Source organism: Homo sapiens, chromosome 18 (assembly GCF_000001405.40).
Source record: "Homo sapiens chromosome 18, GRCh38.p14 Primary Assembly".
NCBI classification, from domain to species: domain Eukaryota; kingdom Metazoa; phylum Chordata; class Mammalia; order Primates; family Hominidae; genus Homo; species Homo sapiens.
Genome location: NC_000018.10, coordinates 7,910,746 through 7,935,776, shown reverse-complemented (window position 1 = coordinate 7,935,776; position 25,031 = coordinate 7,910,746). Strand labels below are relative to the sequence as shown.

General features: G+C 36.6%; 1 protein-coding gene across 26 annotated transcripts in view; it reads right to left on the bottom strand.

Moving 5' to 3' along the window:
• Window positions 1–25,031, bottom strand: part of PTPRM (protein tyrosine phosphatase receptor type M) — an 839,541-nt gene that overhangs the window by 471,080 nt on the left and 343,430 nt on the right. For all 26 annotated transcript variants that reach the window (XM_011525708.3, XM_047437715.1, XM_011525712.3 and 23 more), the window contains exon 5: window positions 9,094–9,209. In XM_011525708.3, coding sequence (XP_011524010.1) covers window positions 9,094–9,209 — 116 coding nt within the window. The remainder of the gene's footprint in view (window positions 1–9,093; window positions 9,210–25,031) is intronic.

The window sequence follows — 25,031 nt, the reverse complement described above, 5'->3', positions numbered from 1 at the left end:
TCGCCACCTGGGTGACAAAACCACTTGTACACCAAACCCCAGCAACACAAAATCTACCCATGTAACAAACCTGCATGTGTACCCTCTGACCTAAAATAAAAGCTGGAAAGAAAAAAATAAAAATAAAAAGTCCAATTTCAAGTCGAGGCCAGGAGACCTCAAGGTTGCTATGGAGGAAGGGGCTCTCTACTGCCCTACCTGTTCCTGCCACATCCTACAGCACCTGTTGCTTACATCTTTTTTTGGCTGAGTTAGATAATATCACAAAGGAAAAATTATTAATTAATTTCTTCTAGAGTATCCCTAGACATGTTATACTGTTTCATCAATATAAAAGAAATGTTTATTTTTAAATAAAGGTAATCCAAAATCATATTAAGTTAAAACATAAGGTATACGCCTAAAGGTTTTCAGTAGCTTCAGTCTGATTGTTCAGTATATTATATAAATATAGATATAGATATTTAACTGACTAAAACAATAATGGATGTGATTTTAAGTACTCAAAATTTTTTAGAGCAAATGGTTCCCATAGCAACTAAAGACAGTCCTCCTTTATGCATTTCTAGTATTTTCTGGAATGCTAAGTGATGTTAAATTTCTGCTTTAATATATATGGCATAAAATACCCAAGTTAAGCTTGTGAAGGGAACCATAATTTTACTTCTTTTCATATCATTTTGTGGCTTTTATACATAATAACAAAATTGTTCTGAAATACAGTTGTGATTTTTTTCCTTATAATCAACAAATGAAACTAAAAGCCACCTAGAAAGGTTGACCAAAAGCATATATCCATAACACGAAAGCCAAGGCAACATCGCATACATACAAAAACAACTTTAATTGTACATTCTGATCAATGCTATCATTTAAATTACATGATACTTATGAATTCATGAGGAACTATCTATGTCTTTTTCTGCAGTACCAAACATGCATTATGGTTACGATACAACATAGACGGCCTGGGTTCAAATCCGAGCTCTTGTGATTAGCAATGCACCATTGGAAAAGTCATTAAAGAAGAAGCCTCAGCCGCTTCTTCTATAAATGGACGTATAATAAAATTCTTGTAGGGATCAATGAAAAAAATGCCTGAACATCACCTACCAGAGTAACTAGCACATAGCAGTGTTCAGTAAATGTAGCTGCAATTACTTTATTTCAAACACACCTGCTGAAGTCAGTAATATAAACACTATTCATATAATTTTTAATTTATTCATTCAAAAGCCAAATTCTATGGTAGATCAGTGAAACTGTTCCCATTAAAATCGTTGTAGGTTATAAAAATCTCAAGGTTTCCCTCTTTTCTCTCAGAAAAAGTTTTAAAATTATCTGAGCTCAAAAACAAAATGTGAGCAATTTATTAGACTGGAGAAACATACTTTTTTCACGATTGCGTAGCTCATACCCAGCTTGGTGGAATTATATGTCAAACTCTCAAAAGAAAAAAAATATATCAATCTCTAGGCCAACAGCTGAAAAACTGTTAACTCTAAGTAAGTTTTTTTAAGAAAATTAAACTCCTCAAAGGAAGAGCTCAAATGGAATTACATTCTTTACAAAAGGTGGATGGCGTAGGTTTAATTCATCTATTACTATGACACAGGTGTTGCCATTGTGCAAACTCAAGTGGAATATCCTTATTAAAGGTATATTTCTTATGTTCATGGGGATCATGGAAAAAAATAAAGGTGTATGTCTATAACGTTTAATGTGGATGCCACGGCAAGAAAGTTTTTACAGGAAGAATTAGGACAGAAGTTTCATGACAGAATAAGAAAACCTAGGCAAAGGGTACAAGAAATGAAGATTTAGGAAAGATGATATATTGACCATATTTGCTTCTAAAATTACTCCAACATATGCCTGTTTTTATTAATCAGTTTTTGTAACTCTGCATGATATTTGCTATATAGCCTGAAGCAGCAGAGGCACCACTACATTCTATGAATTGCTCCTCTCATCAAAGACCATCCTCTGAACAGGAACTGCAGGCCTAAAGCAATCATCCCAGAGAGAAACGATTTCCTCTGTGCTTGTTTTCCTGCTCTAACTACAAATCTACTTTTGATGCTCACCTGAAGGAGCTACACGATTTGTTTGGGTAGCCAGTAAGCCCCATGCATTAGTAGGTATTCACTGAGCATTTTGCTATGTGACAAGCACTAGTCTAGGTGCTCGGTTGTACCAGTGTTTTTAACAGTATAGCAGTCCCCCCTGTTCCATGGGAGATACATTTCAAGACACCTAGTGGATGCCTGAAACCATGGATAGCTTCTGTCATGTCTTGCACACACAAACTTAATGCCTCCTTGTATATCTTAACTAAGCACTTACCATGCACTGTGGCTGTAAACTTTTGCAGTGTGAGGTACAACAGCAAAACTAGAATGAATTTCTTTTTCCTTCTTCACAATTTGAAGTATAGAAGATTCTTTCTTACTGTAGATCTTAGCAAGCAGTGCATACAATTTTTTTCTTTCCTTATTAGGTTGAGCACTTTCACCTTTTCACTTGAAGGAAGCACACTTTATGCCTTCTCTTTGGCCATATCCAAATTGCCATCATCACTACTCCTGTGCTTTGGGGCAATGGTTAAGTAAAGTAAGGGTGACTTAAACATAAGCACTGTGATCCTGAGACAGCCTATCTGATAACCAAGACACCTCCTTAGTAACTACTGGGTAGGTGGTGGGATTTGTTGGACAAAGGGATGATTCATGTCCTCAGTGGGACAGGGTGGGCCAGAATAACTTTTCATTGTGCTCCTCAGAATGGTGCACAATTTAAAACTTATGAATTGTTTATTCCTGGAATTTTCCATTTGACATTTTCGGACCACATTTTCATCGACCACAGGTAACAGAAACCATGGAACGTGAAAATCTCGGATAAGAGGGGACTACTGTACTTTACAGTAACATCATCTGATTTCCTTTTCTATTTGTATAAACTAATGCATATTATGGAATCATTTTAAAAGGCTATTCTGGTGCATTACTTATAATAAATGCCAAACTCTGCTTGCAAAACAGTAAAACTCTCAATTATATTGTGCTATGATGGATTTTAAGGTTCTAAATTTAACACAGGTAAATCACAGTAAATCTGAGACTATCAGGTTAAAAGGCTAATATTTGAGATGCAAGATCACTCAGTGAAGAAAAATGTCCAAGAGAAAAAATTCATGCATTTGTAAATAAATAACAATACTTATACGTAAGTATAAACATGTACATATATATACAGACATAAAAATATTAGACATATAAAACTGACTTTCAATAATAAAATGGAGTTACCTATAATAAACATAAAAACAGGATATACAGCTGCACTAAAGTTTCCTACATTTTCTGGGCTTCTGTTTTCTCGTCAATAAAATTAGGAATTTAATTTGAAGATTGCTCCAAATTCAGAGGTTACATAATTGTGTAATTTTAAAAAGTAAGATATTTAAAAATGGTATGGACCTCTAATGACTGTGAAGAGAAAGGGGTTATTTTCCAGGTTTCCACTGCCAACTGCTATTCACTCAACATGCACACCTCAACCCCTAGCCTGATCAAAGATCTGTTCATCCTTTGTTGAAAAGACATCGCTCCTCCCCACCTCCGTCTTCTGCTCTTTGTCCTGGAGGCAGAACCTTTGTATTTCCCACCCACTCTGAATGTGATGTGGTTGCTAACAGGAGTAAGGAATGCAGGAACCTCTACAACGATTACAAGAAATGAATTAAAGAGCAGAAGTTACAAAAACACCAAAATGGGACCCCAGGCAGGGGAAGAGAAAGGCAGTGGCCCCCATGCCACAGGTCTTGTAACTGCACGTGCATGAGTCATCTATAGGTACATAAACACTAGCTAGCTTTGGTTGTCACCTTCATTTACTGGAAAGTATTATAAATAGAAAGTCCTGAGAGAAACAAGCAAATATAGGCAAATAATATTTGGAATACTGAAGAAAGAACAATAAAGGTTTTAATACAACCATACATAGCTTAAAGGTCAGTGACTACATAAAAAATATACAACATCAGAAGTTTCCCATCAGCAAACAAAAATTATTTATTTATTTTTATTTATTTTTTTTGAGACGGAGTGCAGTGGCACGACCTCGGCTCACTGCAACCTCCGCCTTCCGGGTTCAAGTGATTCTCCTGCCTCAGCCTCCTGAGTAGCTGGAACTACAGGCACGTGCCACCACACCCAGCTAAATTTTGTATTTTCAGTAGAGACAGGGTTTCACAGTGTTGGCCAGGATGGTCTCGATCTGATCTCATGATCCACCCACCTCGCCCTCTCAAAGTGCTGGGATTACAGGCGTGAGCCACTGCACCCAGCCAAGAAAGTACTTTCAAAAGTATAAAAGTGTACAGAAAGTATAAAAAGAAAATCTCAAATTCCATTTTCTCTTTTCAGTGTTATATATATATACACACACATACACACAGTATATGTATACAGACTCTGAGATATTTTCAAAATGTGGGCTCAAAAAGTGATCGGAAAGTTGATAGCAAAAAATTACAGTAATATTTTGGGTGCTTGAATGATTTCCATAAATACACTTAATTTTAGTATCTCACACTGTTGCAGTCCATGTTTATATGAATAGATTGCCATATCCGATAACATATCACAAGTATCTTCAAGAACTGCATTGCATATAGGTTTTTCGATACAAGAAAAGAGTTCTACAGATGTTGTCTTCCTACTGTCTGGAAAATTTTTTAAAGTATTTTGTAGCTGTAACAATGGATGCGCTCACACACTGGGTCTTATTCTATTGTTCAGTGTTCTAGAGAAAACAATCCCACTTGGCAACATAACCTGTGTGGTCCACAGATGAGACTAAGAAAATATAAACAGATGGGACACATCTGTTAATCATAAACATTTCTTCATTAGTGTCATCATCAGATTTATTTACGTTACGTTATTGTGAAAGACTCTGACAAGGGTTATATTTAATCTATATTTAAAAAAATCAAAACCTTGGCCATTTTCACAGGTATGGATCAATATGACATGTAATACATATAAGCATTATTTTCCACGGTCAGGATGGCACCTTGATATTAACGATGTAATATTGGTCACACCCAAATTCTTCTATCAAAGCGTAAGTGCATAATGCCTATTCATCTACCTTCCAAATTCAACAAGACGGTATAGTAGAGTGGAATTACTTAAAGGTGAAATAAAAGTAAATAAACAGAGTTGTATTATTGCCAGCTATGTCATTTTTCTTTGTGACCCAGGACAATCCTAAACTTCCAACTCCTCTCCTACAAAACAGATAAACTACCATGGGATACAACCATGAAACTTTGTGCAGAATACCTATTGTGGGCCTCAAAAGACTGCAACACAAGTAGTAAAAATTATTGTAAATAGGTCGGGCATGGTGGCTCACGTCTGTAATCCTAGCACTTTGGGAGGCTGAGGCAGGTGGATTGCTTGAGCCCATGAGTTTGAGACCAGCCTAGGCAACATGGTGAAAACCTGTTTCTACAAAAAATACAAAAAATTAGCCAGGTGTGGTGGTGCACACCTGTAGTCCCAGCTACCCAGGAGGCTGAGGTGGGAGGATCATCTAAGCCCAGGTGGTCGAGGCTGCAGTGAGCCGAGATCATGCCACTGCACTCCAGCCTAGGTGACAGAGTGAGACCCTGTCTCAAAAAAATATTGTAAATGATTATATTCAAAAACACCAATGTACCCCCAAACAAAGATGTATTATTAATTTCTAAATATTGACTCACTCTTGAGAGAGATTCGAATCACAGAAAAAACTAAAAATAAGTTCTTTTCTTCAATTTTCTGCCTGGATCTCAGGATTATTTTGAGGACCCAAATGAGTTTACACGCAGACAGGTGTTAGTGTATTACAACTCTAGATTAGAAAGACCTGGTCCATGACGAAAGGTTTACATGTCTTCACGACCTCTAAAGAATGGACTGAGAAAATGTTCAAGGGGGAGTGAGGGGTCCTGGGCAAGAGGGCAGGAAGGGCTGTGCAAAACCAGCATCTGCTGAAAACCTTCATCACTACTGGAAACTGCTTTGTACACATATAGATTAATAAAAACCACCCTTGCAGGTGAAGGACACGGGTCTTATTTCATAAGCTATTAATAAAATAAATATTTCCCCACAAAATGCCTACCCAACCAGGGAAAATAAACTATTTAACAGTAAAATTATTCTAACATCACAAAGATTCACTAACCAAATAGTGTCCTGATTCCAGGATAAAGTAAGTTTCAGTAAAAAGCTCAAAGTCACAACAGTTCTATCTGTGTCATCTCCTTCTTGACAGCGCAGTGTAGAAAGCTGCAGGGCAATAAATGGTCACTGAAGACAAGAGGGGTCAGAAAAGACTCAGCAAGAGAAAAAGAAAGGCATTAAGGGACCGACTGTGAAAACAACTACCAACACCATCATTCAAATCTAATGAGAAAAAATTCAAAGATCAGTACATGGAAAATTAAACGTTGGGGTCAAACTGAGGCAACTGAATACAGGTACCAGTTATATGTTATGTCTGCCTTCTTTCTTTCCTGATTTAGAATGTGTGTTGTATTTTGCTTCACACTAGTAATTTCCAACCCTGGGTGCACACTGGAATCACTTGGAGAGTCTTTAATAAAACATTGCACGCTGGGCCCCACCCTAGACCAACTAAATGAGAATCTGGAAATAGACAAGACATTTGTGAAAAAAAACAAACCAAAACAAAACAAAACCCTTCCAAGTTGTTCTATAGTAGAGTCAGGGCTGATAACTTTGCATTTAGACCCTTTGTTTTTCAAACCCCAAAACTGTAAGTAGCTTTCTCCATACCACATGACAAATTATCTCTAAAACAAAGTTCCTGGAAGTGTAGGAAGTAGTGAAAGATTCCCAACCCAAATAAGTGCTCAAGTTTAAGCAGGAGCACACCAAGTCCAGGACGTTTGCAAAAATAAAAAGAGCAAATCATGTCCTCAACAAACCTTAAATTCTTGGGAATATCTAAGATGACTCTGTTAAGGCGAGAGCTTAGACTTAATATAGTATTTATATTGTATTCTCTAGACTTAATATAGTATTTATATTGTATTCTCTCAAGTAATATCATAAATATTAGGAGCAAAACGTATTTTTCCACAAATAATTAAGATTTCTAGAGATAAATCAAAGGAACAAATAGTTTCATTTTTAAAAGGTGCTTAATACTCTGTGGAAAATGTCAATAGAAGATGTTTGTCTCATCATTAATTACCACAGATGGCCAATCTTGATTGTGTTTAATACCAAATAGCCATTATCTGAGAAAACAATTCTGAATTTTAACATCAAGAGTTTAAAACAATTGGGATGTAGGTTAAAAAGAGAAAAAAAATTTGAATACGGAGGACAGTTTTCACAAGCGGCAAAAAACTCTTAAGTTAGCAGTTACAAAACTTTTACAGACAAAGAAGAAAGTAAAGATGAACTTGGAATATACAATATAATCCTCTGCATACACTTCCTGGCCAGCAAAGTCTCTAAAAGGGACAGTAGGGTATGAAAAAACAGAGTGACACTGGGCAGAGGGGTGGAACATCCTGGCAGAGAAAACAACAAGAAGCCTCTCCAGAATGCATTTCCCATCTGACAATGCATTGCTGATTAATCTTGGGACATACACTCAAATGTCTCCCATTTTCCCCAGAAAGAGAAGAATAAAAATACTACTGGGCTGGGTGCAGTGGCTCACACCTGTAATCCCAGCACTTTAGGAGGCCAAGGCAGGAGGATCACTTGAGGCTAGGAGTTTGAGACCAGACTGGGCAACAAGGGAGAATCCATCCCTATAAAAATGACAAAATAATTACTCAAGCATGGTGGCATGTGCCTGTTGTACCAGCTACTTGGGAGGCTGAGGCAGGAGGATCACTTGATCCCAGGAGGTTGAGTGAGATGGTACCACTCTACCGCATCCTGGGCAACAGAGAGAAACCCTGTCTCTAAGACAAACACAAAACAAAACAAATGACTACAGATTTACATTGCAGTGATTAAAAGGAATGAAGGATTTAAAAATTACAGAGTGTCACACGGAGTCTCCAATCACAATCATAATTACACTGCGAGGCATGACAGGAGGTGGAGAGATGGCACGTGCAGAGACAAGGCCAGCACACATGATGGAGCGGAAGCCAGTGTGGAGCACAACCGCGTACACAGAAGGGTTAAAACCCGAAGGACAGTTCAACTCAGTAGCAAACTAAAAATAAATAGATAATACTTTAAAAAAAAAAACCCACACCCACACAAAACACGGAAAGATAAGGACAAAAAATCAACACCACTCAAGATGAAAAATGAGCAGCCTCCAGATTAATGCTTAAAAGAAAGAAACAAGAATGCAACTGGAGAATACCAAGGCAGGGCAAACCCCAAACCTAGAGCTTAAAGAAGTGGGTGGCATTCTGGTTAGAAGGGACAGGCAATTTACTCCCACTCATTCTGTCAGGATTCCTGAGAGCATGGATGTATCCACGCAACCCTCTGCCATGCAAAACACATATGGTGGAATTTGAATAATTACAAAACAAGTCACACAATTGATCACTACACCAAAGAAATATAATTTAAAAGCTCAAAAGTAAAATATGTATTATTAATTTCTAAGTTTAAGCTTACAGCTTGGAAATTCAAATGACAAAAAGGCCTATGAAGTGTTCTGTGGTGTGTATGTGTGTAAGAGAGAGAGAGAGAGAGAAAGAGACTCTTTAGATTTTTCTCAAGAGGAAGACTTAGGAGAAGAGTGCTATATTTTGTAATTTAATAAACTGCCATATAAGTAATTTGACAATCAGATCTTCCAAGCAAGATGACTAAGCATAAGCAAAGGAAAAAAAAAAGAAATTCACAAAAGGTGTTTAAACAAAAATAATTAGCTTTTATAGATTACTAAGTAATCTGGCTACTTATTAACAAAGAAGGAAACTCTTACACTAGGACCTGAGTCTGTTTCTCTGGGTTCCTCCTCCAGGGGGAGTGTATTCTTCCCGCTGGACTCTCATCAACTGATGAAAATGAGTTACTGTACCTGTAACCAGAGCCTGTCTCCTGCCACGGTCCTGCCGATGGCACTGCACTGGAAGGTAGCAAACTGGCCAGCATTAACTTCCACATTCTGAATCCGCAGGAAGTGAGGAGTCCTGGCTACATAAAGAAAAAGAATGAAAGATATTAAAAGTGGAGATTTGTAACTAATATATGTCTTCTTCAATCTATCTGAAATTTTTGGCCTTTCAATTTTGTTCACCTTGGGAAAAAAATAATGCTTTTGCTTATATAAGCTTTAAAGATTTAACTATAATTTTTAAAAAATCATAAAAGGTTTTAGTATGTTGTGTAAAAGAATAACAAAAAGCCAAGCATTCTGGAATAGAATGAAACAGAAAGGAGATATTTTATTGTTCCTGCTGTGCAAATTATCATAGCTCGGCAGTCTTCTTGTAATAACAGATCTGTATTAATAAAGATTATACTGAAACCTAATTGATGTTTTGAACAAAAACATATTAGATATTTATACCAGCAACATGAAAAGAACAGTAAGAAGTTAAATGATGTTGTCAAGGAAGCTTTTCAAGCCAAGTACACAGCTGTACATAATATATATTTTAATACAACTAACTGGTATGCAGCATTACTTATGTAATATTTTTCAGCTACCAAAAATACTACTCCTTTAGACACACTCTGTGAAATGATGCTGAGACTGCCATAGCATGGCAATGTTTGCTGATTCTTATTTCTAATTCAAGAACAAAGAAGGATTCCAAATGGTGAACACCATTGTCTCGTAATGTACATTGTCCATATGGGACAGCTGTTTAAATAAAGGATTATTCTATTTGGTATGAGAAGCACAGGCCAATTTCTGCATCACACTGAAAACAGGTGTCCAGGAACCAGGACGGTAAGTCAGGACTTAAATTTTATGAAAATTCTACTTTTAGGAAAACATTTCCTTATTATAACAATGATAGAGTGAAAGAGTAACAAAGCGGGAAGGGTGGGCACAGCAGAGTGCTTCCCACAGAAGAGGTGGGAAGCAAAGGGGATGATCATACTTTCTGGGAGAGACAGATAAATCTGGATAATAACCAGAATGCATCTGTCACGCCTTGCCAGCTTTTCCCCACTGCAAATGTGTCTTTAGCCATGTCTAGGCAGCTTCAAAAAAGGGTGCCCCACTACTGGGTAGCAAAAGATTACAAACTAGTGCTCATATTAGCCTGGGCAGAACGTAATTAGGAATGGAAGTTGAGTTACTACTTCAGAACAAAGAACAAAGAAAAACTTAATTTAATGTCAAAAACACACAGGAAAGCCCCATTATTAATTTGGAGGCCACTAATAATTCAGACAAAGTATTCATGATGCTCAGCATGCAAAATGTTCTAAATAACTTCCAACAAAGCAATATAACCATGGACCATTGTTTCTTAATACTAATATATTAACATACAACTCTATGATCTCTGCTTTTCACTGACTTAATCAAATTACCCCTTGCTCAAGAATAACATAATTATGTGTTTTTAAAAGATCTCTGTAAAAAGTCCCTAAATGAATTTCTCTTTTAGTCTTTGTTCCTGAAAAAGTCAAAGACCCATTGTTTTTAGAAAATGGAACAAGGTAACCTTTATTGGGTACTTATGTGCCAGAAACTTTTCCATTGAGTACTCACAAATGTTCTGTGAGGGAGATATTTTCTCCATTTCCAAGATGGGGAACACTTATGGGTACTTGGCTAGTAAGTGTAAGAAAAAGAACAAACTCCAGTATATCCAGTTCCAAACACCAGGCTCGGTTTACGAAGCCACAGTGCCTCTCCCCAGTCTTCCCACCATCTGTGCCTTTCCTTATCTCTTCATCCCACTTGCAGTGGCTCCCCTGGGTCTGCCTGCGGGAATTTTCAAGGCATTTCTCAAATGCTGTTCCTTCCATGAAGCTTCTGTAGATTCGCTCACCTTGTGGTTAGGCCTTCTCATATCACAACGGCCACAGCACTTGATGCAACAGAACTTGATGTTATTGCCTCACACACACCAGATACTCATTATCATCATTAAATTCATATTACTTACAATTATTAAAACCACACACCTATCCTTAAAGACTGTTCATTTTAGATTTCAATTTCTGTAGAATTCTACTCTCTCACTCTCATCTGATACTAATGAAATGTTACCATATAAAAAACTTTATAATCATTATAATTTTAGGTTTACCTACACCACAAGTCCCCAACATGAATAGAGTTCACTAAGAATTTTAAGATTTAACTCAATTAATAGGAATATATTAGAAGCCAAAAGCTGTTTCTTGTCAAGGAAATTTAAACAAATTTCTTCTAATAAATCTATTTTAGTACATGTGTCATTAACTGGAAACATTAAAAAAAATTCCCCAATGAAATAATTCTAAGCATACTCCCAAAGCTGTGCAAGCTGAAGCTGGATGACTTGATAAAACTTCAAAAGATTAATCACCACCACTGTGTGGGCCACTCAGAAAGCCCACTGGAATACCTGCCTCTTCCACATTCTGCTCCAGGGAGTAACCGTGGCTGTGACACTACTATCATCACTGAAGACGCTTCAAATCCAACACCCGGAAATCACAACTGGCTGCCTTCTGGACTCAGAATCTGAGTTTATAGTTTGCTCCAACCATTATTCTTTGGTTTCTTTTTGTTTCCTTGTTCTAATCTAAATTCGCTCTCTTTTATAGATCTCTTACCTTGCAATTTATAACACAAATGTCTCTGCGCAGCAATCAACCCACTTTCTTTTTTTGAAGGAACTTCTACATAGGGAAAATACGGGGACCCATTCAGATCCCCAGAGTTGGTATACAGATTATTTTAAAGTGAAAACATTTGAGCAAAAGAAGATGCAGAAAGAAATCTTATCTGAACTTCAAGTAGTTGACTAAAACAGAGCTTTCCCAGAAAAAATAGTTGCCATTAACTCCCCTGTAAGGGAGTTGTCTAATTCAGCTCCCAGGTAGACAAACTGCCTGTTGCCATTACCATCAAAAAGCCTGATAGAACTTTCTACATTTTCCCACTGAAGCCCTAAAACCACTCCCCAATCTTTTGTTAAATTTGGAATATAAACCTTTATCTCTGGTTATTTAGTGGGTTTTCCATTGCTGGGAACTCTGTCCTGTGAAAATAAACTTTGTCTTTTCTTCAATTAATCTGTCTCTTGTCAGTTAATCTGCAGGTCCCCAACCACTGGACCCAAATCAGAAAAGGAAAAGTTTTCCTTCCAATAATATCTCAGGACAATGCCTTGAAGCCTCATTCCACATGTTGACCAACCCCCGCCGCCTTCCATCTCCCTGTGGAGTGTTAAAGGCTGAAGTTATCTGGCACACTCAGAACAACAGGTTCTCTCCCTGGTGCTGGTCTCTCCAGTGGATTTCCCAGACACCTAATCCTGCTCTCCCCCAGCTACAGGTTACTACAGCAAGCTAGGTCTCTAACACAAGGTGTCTGGGTATGTAGCCATTTCTCAGGATAACTTGGGTTAAAGGGGTATTGCACTTGCGGCCACTATTCTAAATTTTACCCCGCTCAGTTAAGCTGGTCAGTTCTGAGCCTGTGCTGAAGGGTTGTTAAATATTTTCAGTAATGACTCCTGGTGTCTCGCAGCAGAATTATGCTACTAAAAGGCAGTGCTATTGGCACCCAGAAAGCAGAGGCTAGAGACACTGCTAAAATGTGCAGGATAGCCCCCACAACAAAAAATTAGCGGGTGCCAAAATCTCAATAGCACCAAGGTTAAGAAACCCTAATACATATCATACATAAACAAGTTTACGGAAACATCCCCCATTATTGAACACTGAGGTTTGTTTCCACTACATATAATGCTAAGATAAAAGTTTTCATAATTAAAACCTTTTTTTTATAAGTTAAACTATTAGAAATTACTAATTAAAAAATACATGCATTTTTGCCAGTTCTGAAATGGTGGCATAGAAGCAAGTTGGCTTCACTCACTCCCACAAAAAATAAATAAATATACAGCACAGAGATTATCACCAGCAATACCCAAGAACTCAAATATGAGGATGAGACTATTCCAGGAGCCAGAGACATGAAAAATTTCTGAGCAGAGGGAAGAAAACCAGACTTCAATATCTGTGAAACCCCAACCCCCAATCTGCCCAGCAGAAAGTAACCGGAAAATTTCCTCTGACTCATAATTTCTACATTGGAAAAAATGAGGTCAAAGTGGGTAAACAATTTCCCCACTATTGTGGATTGCCTGGCAGGAAATCTGTCCCTTCCCCAACCCAATGGAAACATCGAAAGTGCCTGAAGGGAGAAATATCCCTAAGGACAGAGAAAAAGGTACGGGGCAGCAGGACTGCCACCCCAGCATTAGAAACTTTCTCTGTAACTTGGCCAAAGGGATGCCAAATCAGAGTGGCTGTTAAGCAGCACCTCACTGTAGGAGAATTGTTCATCCTTTCTGCACAAACCCTTAGCCAGCCTTCCCACACTACTGGTATATCCCTTTTGGGACCTCTCAAATTCAGGGAAAGTAGCACTCTCATTGTTTACCATAACTGAGGCAAACTTTGGCTTAAGGTGTCATCTAGTGCCAAAAATTAGGCAGTAACCTAGCAGAGGAAAAAAAGGGAAATCAACAGGTAAATTACAAAGAAGCTCTAAGCAAAAATGTCCAATAAAAAACAAAACAAGCCAGACTGGGAAGACTGGAATAAATAACCAACCCTTCAATGCAAAGACATAGACATACATCCACAAGAAACAAAAACAAATGAGGAACCACAGCTTCTACAAATGGACAAAGCAAGGAACCAGTGACTGACTTGAACAAGATGGTGATATGTAAACTTTATAACCAAAAACTCAAAATAGCCATTTTAAGGAAATTCACTGATCTCTAAGAAGCCACAGAAAAGCAATTCAGAAACTTATCAGAGAAACAAACAAACAAAAAAAAACAGAAATCTTGAAACTAAGAAATACATTTGCTGAATTAAAAAATTCATTAGAGGCCGGGTGCGGTGGCTCACGCCTGTAATCCCAGCACTTTGAGAGGCCGAGGAGGGCAGATCATGAGGCCAGGAGTTAGAGACCATCCTGGCTAACACAGTGAAACCCTGTCTCTATTAAAAATACAAAAAATTAGATGGGCGTGGTGGCAGGCGCCTGTAGTCCCGGCTACTCAGGAGGCTGAGGCAGGAGAATGGCATGTACCCGGGAGGCAAAGCTTGCAGTGAGCCAAGGTTGCGCCACTGCACTCCAGCCTGGGCGACAGAGCAAGACTCTGTCTCAAAAAAAAAAAAAAAAATTCATTAGAGGCTCTTAACAACAGAATGGGTCAAGCAGAGGAAACAATCAGTGAATTTGAAGACAGCTATTTGAAAATTTACAGCCAGAGAGGCAAAAAGAAAAAAATGAAAAGGAAAAAGATTATCTACAAAATACTGAAAAATACCTCAAAATATCAAATTTAAGAATTATTGGTGCTCAAGAGGTAGTTGAGCAACAGCAAGGGGCAAAAAGCTTACCTATTACAGAAAACTTTCCAAAACATGAAAGAGATAAATATCCAGGGACAGAAAGTTCAGAGAACACCAAACAGATTCAACTCAAATAAGGCTACCCCAAAAGATATAATGATTAGACTCTCAAAGGTCAAAGACAAAGAGAGTATCCTAAAAGTAGCAAGAGAAAAGAAGCAAATAACATATAAAGGAATCAGGGTTCATATGGCAACAGAACTCAATGAAAACAGGAGTGTATAAGAAGACATTTTCAAAGTGTGGAAATTTTTTTTAAATTGCCATCCAAGAATACTGCAGCCACTAAAGCTATCCACAGAAAAATAAAGGTCAGATAAAGTCTTTCCCAGACAAACAAAAGTTGAGAAAATTCATCACTATTAGATCTATCTTACAAGAAAGGCTAAAGGGAATTCTTCAATCTGAAAGGAAAAAAACACTAATGTGCAACAAGAAAACATGTAAAAGTATATAAAACCCACGGATAATATTAATATACAGACAAATCCAGAATATTCTAACACTGCAGCTGTGGTGTGCAATCTATTCGTAAGTATTGTGAAGCCCAAAAGACAAATCTATCAAAAACAGTAATAGGTATGGTAACCTGTTAAGAGATAGGCCGTATAAAAACACGCAAACTGAAACAACATAAATTCAAAATGTGAGGGGGATGGAGTTAAAGCATAAAAGCATTTTTTTCATTTTTCTGTCCTTTTATTTGTCATCAAAGATAAGTTGTCATCTCTTTAAGATAACTTATATCTATAAGATATGTTTTATAAGCCTAATTGTAACAACAATGCAAAAACCTATAATAGATTCATTACATATGAAAAACAACAAATTAAAACACGTGACCAGAGAAAATCATTTAACTACAAAGTAGTAAGAAAGGAAGAAAGAGAAGAGCTACAAAACAACCAGAAATTAAGCAACAAAATGGCAGTAGTAAGTCTTTACTTAATAATGACATTGAATGTAAATGGAGCAAATTATCCAATTAAAAGGCATAGAGAGGCTGAACATATAAAAAACCAAGACACAATTAAATTCTTCCTACAAGAAATCCACCTCAACTATAAAGGCACTCACATAGGTAAGACAAAGTGAAGTGGGTAGAAAAAGATACTCCATCTAACTGGAAAACAAAAAAAGAGGAGGAGTATCTATGTTTATTTCAGATAAAATAGGGTGCAAATCAAAGACTGTAAAAACAAAAATGGTAATTATATAATGATAAAGGGATTGGTTAAGAGGATAAAACAATTATAAATATTATACACCCAACACCAGAGCTCCCAAGTATATAAAGCAAACATAGATCTAAAGAGAGAGATAAACTGTAATACAGTCATAGCAGGGAACATCAACAGACCAATCATTCAGACAGAAAGTCAACAAAGAAACATTAAAGTTAAACTACACGCTACACCAAATAGTCATAACTGACGTCTATAGAACATTTCACCCAAATGCTATGGAATACACTTTCTTTTCATTAGTACATACAAAATTATCCAGAACAGAACATATCTTAGGCCAGAAAACAGGTCTCAACAAATTTAAAAAAGTAGAAATAATATGAAGTATCTTTTCTGACCTCAATGGAATAAAACTAGAAATCAGTAACAAAAGGAACCTCAGTAAATACGCAAATACGTGGAAATTTAAAAACATGCTAGTGAACAACCAATCGAAGAAATTAAGAGGAAAATCCCATAGGTTTAGGTATGTTGTATTTCTGTTATGATTTGTTTCAATAATTTTTAAAATGACAATACTACTCAAAAATTACAAATTCAATGGAATCCCTATCAAAATATCAATGCCATTCTTAACAGAAATAGAAAATATAATGCTAAAATTTATATGGAACCAGAAAATATTCCAAATAGCCAAAGCAAGCCTGAGCAAAAAGAAAAAAGCTGGAGGCATCATATACTACCTGATTTCAAAATGTAGTATAAAGCTTTAGTAACCAAAACAGCATGGTACCAGCATAAAAACAGACACATAGATCAATGCAACAGAACAGAGAACCCAGTAATAAATCTACGCATTTGTAGCCAACTTGTCTTTGACAAAGGTGCTAAGAGTATACAACGAAGAAAGGACAGTCTCTTCAATAACTGCTGCTGGGAAAACAGGAGAACAATATGCAGAAAAAGGAAACTAGCCTCCTCTGTTTCGACATCTACAGAAGTCAAATCAAAATAGACCCAAAGATTTAAATCTAGGACCTGAAGCTATGAAACTACTAAAAGAAAACACTGGTGAAACATTCCAGAACATTGGTCTGGGCAAAGAATTTTTGTGTAAGACCTCAAGAGCAACCAAAACAAAAACAGACAAATGGGACTACATTAAGCTAAAAAGCTTCTACACAGCAAAGGAAACAATCAACAAAGTGAAGGGAGCCCATGGAATGGGAGAAAATACTTGCAAACTATCCATTTGACAGAGGACTAATCATCAGAATATACAAGAAGCTCAAATAACTCAAGCAAAAATACAAATAGTCCAATTTAAAACTGGACATTCAAGTAGCTGTCTTCAGATTCACTGATTCTTTCCTCTGCTTGACCCATTCTGTTGTTAAGTAAGAGCCTCTAATTAATTTTCTCATAAGACATGAAAATTGCCAACAGGTACAGGAAAAAAAATGTTCAACCTCACTAATCATCAGAGAAATGCAAGTCAAAACAAAAATGAGCTATCACATTACTCCACTTATGATGGCTTTTATCAAAATGACAGGGAGTAACGGATACTGGTGAGCATGTGGAGAAAGGGGAACCCTTGTACAGTGTTGGTGGGAATATAAATTAGTACAGCCCCTATGAAAAACTGCATTGAGGTTTCTCAAAAACTAAACATAGAACTACCATAAGATCCAGCAATTCCACTACTTGGTATATATCCAAAAGAAAGGAAATCAATATATCAAAAAGATATCTGCACTCCTATGTTTATTGCAGCACTATTCATAATTGCCAAAATATGGAGTCATCCTAAGTGTCCATCAATAAATAAGTAAATAAAGAAAATGTAATACACATACACACACACACACACACACACACACAAACACACAAGAACACAATATCTCATATTACATTATGGAATATTATTCAGCCACAAAAAAGCATGAAATCCTGTCATTTGCAGCAACAAGGATGGTACTGGAAGGCCTTATGTTAAGTGAAATAAGCCAAGCACAGAAAAACAAATAGAACATATTCTCACTCTTATGTTGGAGCTAAAATAGTGGATCTCATGAAGATAGAGAGTAGATTAATGGTTACCAAAGGCTGGGATGGATAGGGGGAGTGGGGGTGCAGAATTAAGAGCAGTTGATTAATGGGTACAAATATACACTTATTAGAAATAAAACTTAGTGCTTGAAGATCAACAGGGTGACCACAGTTTGCAAAATCTACTGTATATTTCAAAATATCTAGAAGATAGTAACAATTCAAATTTTTCTAGCATAAAGACAATAGTTAAGGTGATGGATATCCCAGTTACACTGCTTCCATTTTTACAAATTGTATACATGTATTAAATTATCACATGTACCCCCAAATATGCACTTATATTATGTATCAATAAAAAAGTATATATTTTTTTAGACAGAGTCTCACTCTGTCGCCCAGGCTGGAGTACAGTGGCGCGAGCTGGGCTCACTGCAACCTCCGCCTCCCAGGTTCACGCCATTCTCCTGCCTCAGCCTCCTGAGTAGCTGGGACTACAGGCGCCTGCCACCACGCCTGGCTAATTGTTTTTTGTATTTTTAGTAGAGATGGGGTTTCACTATGTTAGCCAGGATGGTCACGATCTCCTGACCTCGTGATCCGCCTGCCTTGGCCTCCCAAAGTGCTGGGATTACAGGCGTGAGCCACCGCACCTGGCCAAAGATAATTTTTAAAACACACATTTTAAAAGACATTTGACATAAATTGTCAAACTGCTTTCCATAAAAGCTTATAACAATTCACATTTTTACCATCAGGGTATGAAGGAGCTTTTTCACCACCTTTTCAAAAGTACCTTGTCATTTGCTGCAGCATGGATGTGCCTAGAGTACATACATGATGTTAAGTGATAAAAGCCAGGCACAGAAGGACAAATACCACATTCTCACTCATGTAAGAGAGATCATAAAGTTGATCTCAGAAGTCAAGAGTGGTTACTAAGGGATAGGAAAGGTAGGGCGTAGAGGGACAACATGTTGGCTAATGAAAACAAAATTACAGTTAGATATAAGTATTAATAAAGTTACAGTGTTTTACAGTACTGTAGGGTGACTATAATTAACAATAATTTCTGGTATATTTGCAAATACCTATTAATAGAAGAGAGGATATGGAATGTTCCCAGCACAAAAAAATGATAAATGTTTGAGGTGATAAGCTAATTAATCCTGACTTGATCATTATACATTGTATACATGTTTCAAAATATCACTCTATACCTCATAGGTATGTACAATTATGTGTCGATTTATTTTTTGTTTTTATTATTTAAAATAAAATAACATTTTTTTTAAAAAAGAAAAGGACTCAGCTCTTTCCCCCTCTGTCTGCCATGTGAGGACACAACAAAAAAGATGGAAGTCTGCAACCCAGAAGAGGGTCCTCACCATAACCTGACCGTGTTGGCACCCTGATCTCAGACTTCCAGGCTCCAGAACTGTAAGAAGTATATTTCTGCTGTTTATTCTAAAAAATACAATAAGTACTAACTTCTATAATCTTTCTTGAGAAAGTTATAAAATGCATACACTCTATCAGCAAACGTTATAAGAGTTAAAAAAATAATGTGAATATGAGAATTGTCGCTGGTTCTGCTAAAGGTGTGTTCATCTATGGTACGCCCAGTTTTGGAATATCACTTTCTTTTAAAGTTTTGTATCTTAATGGATTTAAGGGATCCAAGTGCAGTTTTGTTCCTTGGATATACTGCATAGCAATGAAGTCTGGATTTTTAGTGTACCCATCACCTGAATTGTGTACATTATTCACCATAGGTAATTTCTCATCACTCACCTCTTTCCCCGTCCCACCTTTCAGGGTCTCCAATGTCTATTATTCTTTTATGTCCATATATACACACTGTTTAGCTCCCACTTGTAAGTGAAAACGTGTAGTTTTTGTTTTTCTGTTTCTAAGTTATTTCACTTAACAAAATGACTGTGAGATCAGATTTCTCCAAGAACATGAAAGTCAAACTTTCTGCTAATGGTGTAAATTTTTTCAGTAAATATTAAAGGCTTATATAATCTTCCAAGCTTTTAAGATGCCTAGATTCCCCTTGTTTAGTGCTATAAATCCTACAACCATTTTCAGGTGGCAAGCAGCTTAGGCTGATACTATTTTAAGATTTGGATTTCAGCACATTTGTGTTCAAGCATCAGTACTTCCTTCAGTCCTTTATTATCTCCGAATATATGCAAAAATTCTTAAACCTAAATCTTCACAAAATTTTTTTATTTGTAAAATAGAGATTTTTTAAAAGTACCTATTTCGCAGTGTTGATATAAAGAATAAACAAGTTGATGAAGCCAAGGTGTTCTCTGTGCCTCATACTTAGCCCACAAAAATGTTCCTTACTATTTAAAATAACTGATCTATCACTGGAACCTGGAAAAGAGCCCAAGAAAAAGAGCTCTATGGCCAGAAAAGTGTAGATCCCATGCTGAGCTGTATGCTCTGAATCTTGCCATACTACTTTAATTGTAACATCAGGTGTATACCACCTTTAGAACAGAAATTTCAATCTATCTCATATTCAAAAAGAAACATTCTCTCTCTCTCTCCAAATTTACAGGCCCACTTGTCTCCTGGATACCCTTTCAAAATGCTATGCCAGCTTTCTTCTAAAACCTGTAGGAGATTTAAAAACTAAATATCTTCCATGAATAACAAACATGTTCTTAGTACAACCCTCCTATCCTCTCATCGCTTCCATATTCTGTTTCTTCTTACTAAGAAAGAATAGAGGTTTTCGTGTATTAATTGATCTCAAATAAGCCTTTGATCCCAAAGCCAAGAATTATCATTGACCAAGATACAAATCGTTTTGTAGATGTTTCATTATTATTGATTCTTCAGAGTCTGCATACAAATACTAGCAACAAAATCAGAGAAGAGTAATTTGTGAGATCAAAGTGCAAACTGAAGTGGAACAAGAGGACTATGTCCTAACCCCCTTTTGCTTTAACTTACATTTTAATGTAATGGCATAGGTTGAAATGTACGGGATGCATGCCCAACCACCAGAATAAAAATAGTTAATATTTCTCTCTATTTGTGTAACATATCATCACAAACAAGGAAGCAAATTGCTGCCAAAAAGAACAGCCTGGTACTGCTTACTCTAACGCTGAGAACCAATATATTTTGCAAACATTTTTGGAATTTAACGATGGACATACAATTAAACTTCCCCATCTAGCATATCAATCATTTTAGCTATTTAGAGGTTTACCATTAGCAGCTAACTAATTCTAGCAAGTCTATCACAATGTAGTGCCTAATAATAATAATAGTTAACATTAATTAAATTCTTAGAATGTGGTAAGCATTGTGATAAATTCTATATGTACATTAACTAATGTAATCCCTATATTTACTCAGTGAGAAAAACATTATTATTTTCTTCTTATACAAATGAGATTATAGGTCCAAAAAAAGCCAAGTAATTCCTGTGATAGAAGCAGAAAATTTCTCTTAACATGTTTCAGGTCAAAGTCAGTTTTGTTTTCCTTGAAAGGTAAGAATAGGCTTTAATGAAATAATTTTTCAAGTGGAAAAACAGATTCAACATTCTTATCAGAGAAAACTAAGGTAGCCACTACATATAAATAACTTTTAGAAGTCGACTCTATCTTAAGAAGAATGATATTCCTTTAGAGAAAAGTCCAAATTGTGTTCCCACATGTTTAAAATGAAAGGTCAATTCTGAGTCCCACACATCTCTCAACCAAAGCACATGAATCTGTCTTTATTCAGCAGAACATAATTCCGAAAACAATTCTAATTTGTGCTTTGTCACTGTTATTCTTATTTCAATCACACTATTTAATAAATCTTCATTAAAAAATCTAAATTTGGGAGTGGTAAGCAATGTGTGACTACACAAATTAATAAGGAAAATACTATTTTAAAAAATAAGAATAATTTTGAATTTAGGAGGCCATATTATAAACTTTAATATTTAAAGAAATTGCTGACTTATTTTCTATTGCCCAAGTAATAATACAGGACAGTCTTGGATTTTGTATTCAATTTATCCAATATACAGCACATGGGTTTAGAAGGGCTTTATCTCTTTTTTACTGTATTATTTTGTTTTTAAATTGGCATCAAAATAATGGGGCATGATTCTGTATAATTTTAAGATTTCAGAATTGAAGGCATCATATATCCCAGTAACTTCGTATAATGTTTCATTACTACATGCCAACATATTAAAAAAGATTATACACCATGCCTAAGTGAGATGTGTTCCAGGACTGCTAGGTTGTTTTAACATCCCAAAATCAATCAATATAATATGCCAGAATATAGGATGGAAACCACATAATAATCTGATAGAGAAAAAGGATTTGCTAAAACCCAACAGCATTTCTTGATAAAAACATCCAACAAACTAGGAAGAAAAAGGAACTTTCTTCCTAAAAACAAGCATTTACAAAACACCACAGCCAACATCATGCTAAAAGACTGAAAGCTTTCCTCCTAAGATGAGGAACAAGACAAGCAGTTCTGTTCTTTTTGCTTCTATTCAACATTGTACTGGAGGTTTTAGCCATGGCAAACTAGCAAGAAAAATAATAAAATTCACCTGGGTTGGAAAAAGAGGAATCTGGAAAACCTACTTGAAGATGACACAATTTTGCATACAGAAAATCCTATGGATCCACCAAAAAACCAATTAGAGCTAATAAGCAAGTTCATCAAGATCTCGGGATACAAGATCAATAAACAAAATCAACTGCATTTCTACAAGCGAGAAATGAACAATCGAAAAATAAAATTAAGAAAACAATTCTACTTAAAACAACTTCAAAATAAAATACTTAGGAATAAATTTAACAAATGAAGAACAGAACTTGTACTCTGAAAACCACAAACACTATTAAAGGAAATTTTAAAAGACTTCAATAAAAGGAAAGACATCCCACATTCACAGATCACAAAGCCTGATAATGTTAAGATAGCAATAACCCCTCACCCAAACCAGTCTACAGATTCAACACAATCCCTATCAATATCCCAGCTGAATTTTTTTGGCTGAAATTGATAAGCTGATTCTCAAATTCATTTGAAAGTACAAGGGATTGGCTGGGCGCAGTGGCTCATGCCTGTAATCCCAGCACTTTGGGAGGCTGAGGCGGGCGGATCACGAGGTCACGAGATCGAGACCATCCTGGCTAACACTGTGAAACGCCATCTCTACTAAAAATACAAAAAAAAAAAAAATTAGCCGGGCGTGGTGGCGGGTGCCTGTAGTCCCAACTACTCGAGAGGCTGAGGCAGGAGAATGGCATGAACCCGGTAGGCGGAGCTTGCAGTGAGCCGAGATAGTGCCACTGCACTCCAGCCTGGGCAACAGAGTGAGACTCTGTCTCAAAAAGAAAAGAAAGTACAAAGGATTCAGAATAGCCAAAACAATAATGAGAAAAGAACAAACTTGGAAGACCCACTGATCCAAATTTCAAAATTTACTAAAAAGTTACAGTAATCAAAATAGTATCATACTTGTAGCAGAATAGTCATGTAGATCAACTGAATAGAACTGAGGGTCCAGAAATGTCTTTATATTTATTAATTAATTTTCAACAAGGGTACCAAGGCAATTTAATGGGGAAAGAACAGTGTGTCAACAAGTGGTGCTGGAATAACTGCATATCCATATGCAAAAGAATGAATTTTCACCACTTTCTTACAGCATACACAAATATTAACTCAAATAGCTCATAGACCTGTAAGTAAGAATTGAAACTATAGGACGGGCACAGTGGCTTATGCCTGTAATCCCAGCACTTTGGGAGGCTGAGGCAGGCAGAACACCTGAGGTCAAGAGTTGGAGACCAGCCTGGCCAAATTGGTGAAACCGCGTCTCTACTAAAAATACAAAATTAGCTGGGCTTGGTGGCAGACACCTGTAATCACAGCTACTCAGGAGGCTGAGGCAGGAGAATCACTTAAACGTGGGAGGCGGAGGTTGCAGTGAGCCGAGATCACAGCACTGCACTCCAGCCTGGGTGAGAAAGAGAGACTCCATCTCAAAAAAAAAAAAAAAAAAAAAAAATTGAAACCATAAAACTCTGGAAAAAACACAGAAAAGCTTTGTGATCTTAGAAGAATTATTAGCTACAACTCCAAATAGTTTTGTATCTAAGTGATGAAAGAAAAAACAGAAAATTGGACTTTATCAAAATTTAAATCTTTGTGCTGTTAAGGATGCCATCAAGAAAATGAGAAAACAACTCACAGATTGGGGGTAAATGTTTTTGAATCATATGTCTGATAAGGAATTTGTATGTAGATATATAAAACCTCTTATAACTGAATAATAAAAAGATAAACAACTCAATTAAAAATGGGGAAAGGATCTGAATAGACATTTCTCCCAAACATACATATAAATGGCACATGGAAAGATGCTCAACATCATTAGTCATTAGGTAATCCAAACTACAAACAGGTGCCACCTGAAACCCACAAGGATGGCTATGATTTTTTTAAAGACATAAATATTTGCAAGAATATGAAGAAATTGAAATCATACACTGCTGTTTGAAATGGAAAATGGTGCAGCCAATTTAAAAAACAATTTCACAGTTCTTCAAATGCTACCCAGCAATTCTGCTCCTAAGTATATGTCTGAGAGCATGATACCCAAGAGAACTGATAACAAATGTTCACAGCAGCATTATTCCCAATAGCCCAAAGGTGAAACAACCTGAATGTCCATCAACTGATGCATGCTTACATAAAATGTGGTATATCCATGGAATAAAATACTATTTGGTTTTAAGAAGGAGTGAAATATTGATATACACTATAACATGGATGAACTTTGAAACACGCTAAGTGAAGGAAGCCAGACACAAAGGGCCACATATAGCGCAACTGCATTTAAATGAATATGGAGAACAAGCAAATCTACAGGAACAACAAGTAAATTAATGGTTGCCTAGGGCTAGGAGTGGTGGCCAGAGTAAGTCGGGAGAATAGGGTCTAGAGGCAAGGAACCTGAGGCCGAATCATGCTGACTTCCTAGAACTAAATCAAAAGGAAAATCCCAACTTTCCACACCCAAGTGACAAAAGGACCAGAGACTACTTCCTTTGCACACTGCCTCCCCCAACTTTTTCTGGGTGGCAGATGAAAAATTGAAAGTACCTCT